At 41.1% G+C, this 6,144-nt stretch overlaps 1 long non-coding RNA gene and 1 pseudogene across 1 annotated transcript; one reads left to right on the top strand and one right to left on the bottom strand.

Annotated features, from left to right (window-relative positions):
* On the top strand, positions 605 to 666 carry RNU7-34P (RNA, U7 small nuclear 34 pseudogene; annotated as a pseudogene).
* LOC124901052 (uncharacterized) lies at positions 1,983 to 5,388 on the bottom strand. The gene is made up of 2 exons (XR_007058911.1): positions 5,053 to 5,388; positions 1,983 to 3,245 (listed from the first exon to the last, which is right to left on the bottom strand). It is a non-coding gene; the product is annotated as an uncharacterized LOC124901052 (long non-coding RNA).
* Positions 5,389 to 6,144: the final 756 nt, after the last annotated feature.

Genomic DNA, 6,144 nt, shown 5'->3' on the forward strand with positions numbered 1-6,144 from the left:
GCATTTGTTAAGATCACACTAGCTGATCCTCTAGTACTTGGACAGTGGTTAACGAACTCTCACCAATAGTGAGGGGAAATGACATGTGTTGCTTTCGGACCAGGGCATTTCATTGCCAGTGAGGGCTCCTCCAGAACTTTCTTCCCCTCTGTCATGGAAACCAACAATATCTCAGTTCCATCTAGGTGACTATAATGAACAAAGCAGAAGTAGACACGTAGCATGAATAAGAATTAAACTCGTTAAAAAAAAAAACTAAGATTTTGAAGTGTTTGTTATTGTTGCATAATATAGCCTATTCTCACTGATACATCTTTTCTCTTACATCACAAAATATTGTGTCTCCCCTGTCATCTCTCAGATGTATCCTTCCACTTGTTCTCCATCCTCAGAGATGCTGTTCCATCAATCATTCTGTCTCTCTTATATATCGTGTGTATGTATGTATATATATGTGTGTGTGTCTGTGTGTGTATGTATATATGTGTGTGTATATATATACACACACATATATTTTATATATATATCCTCAACCTTTCCTTCATTCTGCATGTATCTTTAAACCTTTCCTTCATTCCATTTAGTATAAAAATTTGTTTAAAGTAGTGTTACAGCTTTTTTAGAATTTGTCTAGCAGGCTTTCTGGTTTTCACCATAAAATGCCCCACACGGACTAATAAAAAAAAATTGTTAAAAGTAACCCCATATTTTCAATCTTTTAAAAATGTCCATTATTGATCCTATATATCTCCATAGCTTCCATCTTTATGTCTTTCCCTTATAAAACACAAGTGGGTCAAGGCCTACTGCCTTGCTTGAACAATATAGTCTTTATGTACTGCATTCACTTGCACTCTTCCCATTTACTCTTCATCCCATCATAATCTCATAGCCACCTCACACCATTCTACGACAGCATTCTTCCCAAAATTATATGTGCACTCAGGTGCTAAACTGAATGGACCCTGTACTGGACAAGCTGGCCTATTTTCCTCTGTACATACTTCTTCTTCTTTCTTAAAATGGCCCATTCCCAGCCCTTCTGAATGAATCTGCTGTGCCTTGGCCTACAGGCTCCATTACATAGACTTGGATGTACTTTCCACCATGAGACTCCCCCAAGAAACTCCCCAAATCAGGCACAGCTGATTAGCCATGAGAAGACAGCTAATCTAAAGGCAACCAATCCATAGGAAAGGCCAGAAAATTGGGATTTGTGTACAGGTTCAAGAAAAGGATCTCGGCTAGGTTTTCTTTCTCTCATGAATTTGAGCTAAGATCAAAGGAAAGTTGGCATTTGATGACGAGGAAATGGTCCTAGGAGTCTATGAAAAATTGGAACTGGGTCAGCACTACGGCCATATACAAGAAACCACAGAGCAAGGTATTAGCTGAGAACAGGTAACTGGGCAGCAACTCAGAGATGACCTCTGGAGAAGGGGTAGAGTGAATAGCTTTGGTTCCTACTGGCCTTCCAGACCCAGTGGCCAGTCTTTTTGTGGTCCAGTTGTGCTTGGCTTTTGTCTCAGATTTATATACAATTCTATAAAGTATCCTTAAAATGAATCCCTATTACTATAATGTGAGGGGATTTTTTTTCTTAGCAAAAAGTTCTTTTAACCCTTATTTCATTTTGCCTCCTTATAGTATTTTGCAATATTGACCAATCCCTCTCTTGAAAGTTTCTCCCACCTTGCTTCTCCGACAGGAGGAGCCTCTGCTTCATCTTCTATTGATACCTCTCATTTCTTCTCAGTCTCCTTCAGTGGCTTCTCTTCCTCTGCCAATCTGTTAAATGTGAAGGTGACTGAAATTCCCCTGTTGGCTTTGGTCCACACTCCCTGGACACTTTACCCACTGTCATGTCTTCAACTCCAATCTAGCTGCAAACTCTTGGGATTTAATTCTGCCCAACTAATGTGAATTTTTGGAAAATCACTGTATTAGGGTTCTCTGGAAGGACAGAGCTAATAGGATATATGTATATATGAAAGGGAGTTTATTCAGGAGAACTGACTCACGTGATCACAAAGTAAAGTCCCACGATAGTTCGTCTGCAAGTTGAGGAGCAAGGAAGCCAGGGGTGGATCAGTCCGAGTCCCAAAACCTCAAAAGTAGAAGAGACGACAGTGTGGCCTTCGGTCTGTGGCCAAAGGTCCGAGAGACCCTGGCAAACCACTGGTGTAAGTCCAAGAGTCTAAAAACTGAAGAACTTGGAGTCTGATGTACGAGGGCAGGAAGCATTCAGCATGGGAGAAAGATGAAGGCCAGGAGACTCAGCAAGTCTGCTCTTCCATCTTCTCCTGCCTGCTTTACTCTAGCCACACTGGCAGCTGATTAGATGGTGCCCACCCAGATTGAGGGTGGGTCTGCCTCTTCCAGTCCACTGACTCAAATGTTAATCTCCTTTGGCAACACCCTCACAGACACACCTAGGAAAAATACTTGGCATCCTTCAATCCAATCAAGTTGACACTGAATATTAACCATCACAATCACATTTACATTTGTTAAAACAATCATTCAATTATTAGTCATAAGACTTCACATTTTTCATTTCTAAGATAGTTTGTAACACTGTAGTGAAGGTCTGTGACCAAGTTCTCAACACTATCATTCATTAGTGCATAATAACAACCTTTCAACAAATATCTGATAAAGATGCCACAGTAGAAAATTCTGGAGCAAAAATATAAAATAAAATTATTCAACTAAATCTTCAGTTTAAATTTGCTCAGAGGGTTTTGTTTGGTTATGTACAAGAATTTTGTAATTTAAATTTTTATGTAGAAAACTGTGTAATCAAAGTAATTATTAAGACTGAAGTCAGCCATGAGTTGGGAAAAAAAATCACTACACACACACACATTATCTATGAATATATTATACATACATACACATATTTATGACCAATGGAAGAAGGAAGTCAGGAATTGATTAATGTCATATAACTGTAAAGAAATAATTTAAGATCATAATATTTCATTGCCTCACTTTATAGATGAAACAGAGAAACAGAGAACCCATGATTTGCCCAAAGTGACACAGCTTGCTCATTGCAGAATTGGACAGTCGTGAAGGTCAACTGACTCCTTCTCCAGCACTCTTCCCAGCACACTATGCTTTATCAACTGCTCTCAAACATAATGGCAATATTTTTGAGGATTGAAGAAGACATAGTCAGAGGGCATTTATCTTCTCAACAGAATCTCCTTCTGCCATGGCACTTTTCTCCCATTAGGATCCTGCATATGGGAGATGGGAAGCAGATGTTATGAGAACGGATGTGAGAAAAGGCAAATTCACACCTTCTCTTTGATGAGCTTAGAAGGACTCAAACTACTCTCTCTGGAGTAGTTAAGACATCTGCTGAGATGTACCAAAGCTTTGATCCAAGAGCTTGAAGTCCCAGAGTCATGAAATCACCCCAGGAAGAGAAATAGGGTGGGTTTTAAATCACATTTGGTAATTAATATCTGGGTATAAAATATACTAAAATTAGAAAAAATGGTGACAGATAAAAATTGTTAGAAAATGTTCCAAATTATTTCATTAGAAGATTGCTCTAAAGTGCCATATTTAAACATACCAAGGCTATTGTTTTCAATAATTAAAATATTCTACTACTTTTAAAGATTTATGTGTGAATATGTATGTGTGTATGTGTGAGTGCATATATATATCTCTGTGTCTATATATGTGTGTATATTTACATATACATGTAATATTGAGAGTGACAGAGAGGCAAACTGCAAGAGCTTGAACAGAGAACCTCATCTGAATCGGGAAAAATTAAAATCCTGGGTTCAATCACCAGGCATCTGGCACTTAATAATGGCCTTTCCAAATTATAAGTTTAGCTTTTAAATCTTTTTTAAAGCACATGAAATGTTTTAAATTTATAAAACACTATACAGTTATATATATAGAGAGAGAGCTATAGTTGTAAATTTAAATGTACAGTTATAGATAATGTATGGTTATAAATAGCTATAGCTATATATATTATGATAACTGTATATATAATTATAAATATATGTAAGTATATATATATACATTTATGCCCACAGACACACACATACACACACAAAGTGACAAAAACATTTGCGGGTTTTAATTGAACTCTTCATATACTATGCCAAGAGAAAACATTCTGATTTCTCAAATCAGATCACAAAACAATCAAAAGATGAGGGAGGCATTGAACTGCAGCTTTGACTGAATGGCTGCATTGAATCCAAAATTCCAGAAATATTTTTACTGCCTACTCTTTGCAGTCAGGTTATATTAAATCATTTATATTCTGAGATACCCACATGCATGATGAAGTCAGCATCTCTCTTTAGAACAGCAATATCAGACAGCCCACCGGGGTGGTGGTGAGTGATTGTGCAACCCAGCCCAGGAAACCATGCTTTTCACACAGATCCTTGCAACCAGTGGATCGGGAGATCCCCTCATGAGCCCATGCCACCAAGGTCTTGGGTCCCAAGCACAGAGCTGTGTGGAATCTCAGCTGCCACTCAGGCATGCAGGGAGACCAGGAGTTTTTGCGTACTCTGGCCCCAGGAATTCCAGCGAAGTAGGAGATTCACCCATTCCTCTCGGAAGGGGGCTGAAGCCAGGTAGCCAAGTAGTGTCGTTCAGTGGGCCCCACTTCCACGACACCTCACACTGGTTTGGAATTCCAGTCAACCGGCAGCAGCAGGTTGGAGAATGCCTGAGATGACCAAGTTCCCAGTGGGGGAAGGATAGCCAACATCTCTGCGGCTGGAGTCAGCCTGTTCTGGCCTGCTGGCTCTAGGGAGTCTGGGTGGTCCAGGCTGGGAGGAATTCCCCACAGCACAGCACATTTGCTGTGGCAGATCATGGCCAGACTGCTTTAAGTGGGGCTCTAATCCATCCCTTCTCACCAGGTGGGGCCTCCCCATGGCAATTTTGGCAACTGCAGCCAGGGTTTTATGGACAGAACTCTGATCTCCCTGGGACACAGCCCCCTGGGGAAGGGAGCGGTCATGGTATCTAAGGCTCAGCTAACTTAGCCTTTCCCACCTGCTGGCTCCGAAGAGTCTGGGGGCTTCTGTACAAAAGGGGGTTTCCACCAGCGCAGTGCACCCACTCCAACAAGGGGAAGCCAGACTGCTTCTTTAAGCAGATCCCTGATCCTTTTCCTCCTGACTGGGTGAGACCTCCCAACAGAGGTCTCCAGGCACTTCCTACAGAAGCGTTTGGGCCGGCATCAGTTTGGTGCCCATCTGGAAAGGACCTCCCAGAAGAAGGAGCAGGCTGCCATCTTTGCTGTTTTGCAGCCTCCACTGGTGATACCTCCAGGTGCAGTGGAAACCCAGGTGATTAGGGTCTGGAGTGCACACCCAACAAACTGCAGCAGCCCTACAGAAGAAAGGTCTGACTGTTAAAAAAAAAAAACAAAAAAAAAAAAACAGAAAGCAACAACAACAACAACATAGACAAAAGAGACCCCATAAAAACCCCTTTCGATAGACTGGATTAAGAAAATGTGGCACATATACACCATGGAATACTATGCAGCCATAAAAAATGATGAGTTCATGTCCTTTGCAGGGACATGGAAGAAATTGGAAAGCATCATTCTCAGTAAACTATCGCAAGAGCAAAAAACCAAACACCGCATATTCTCACTCATAGGTGGGAATTGAACAATGAGATCACATGGACACAGGAAGGGGAATATCACACTCTGGGGACTGTGGTGGGGTGGGGGGAGGGGGGAGGGATAGCACTGGGAGATATACCTAATGCTAGATGACGAGTTAGTGGGTGCAGCGCACCAGCATGGCACATGTATACATATGTAACTAACCTGCACAATGTGCACATGTACCCTAAAACTTAAAGTATAATAAAAAAGAAACCCTTTCAAAGGTCAGCAACCTCAAAGATCAAAGGTAGATAAGCCCACAAAGATGAGAAAGAATCAATGCAAAAATGCTGAAAACTCAAAAAGCCAGAGTGTTTCCTCTCCTCCAAATGATCGAACACCTCTCTAGCAAGGGCAAAGAACTGGGGTGAGGATGAGATGGCTAAATTGACAGAAGTAGGCTTCAGAAGATGGGTAATAACGTACTTCATTGAGCTAAAGGAGCACGTTCTAACCCAATACAA

Source organism: Homo sapiens, chromosome 5 (genome assembly GCF_000001405.40).
Source record: "Homo sapiens chromosome 5, GRCh38.p14 Primary Assembly".
Lineage (NCBI taxonomy): Eukaryota > Metazoa > Chordata > Mammalia > Primates > Hominidae > Homo > Homo sapiens.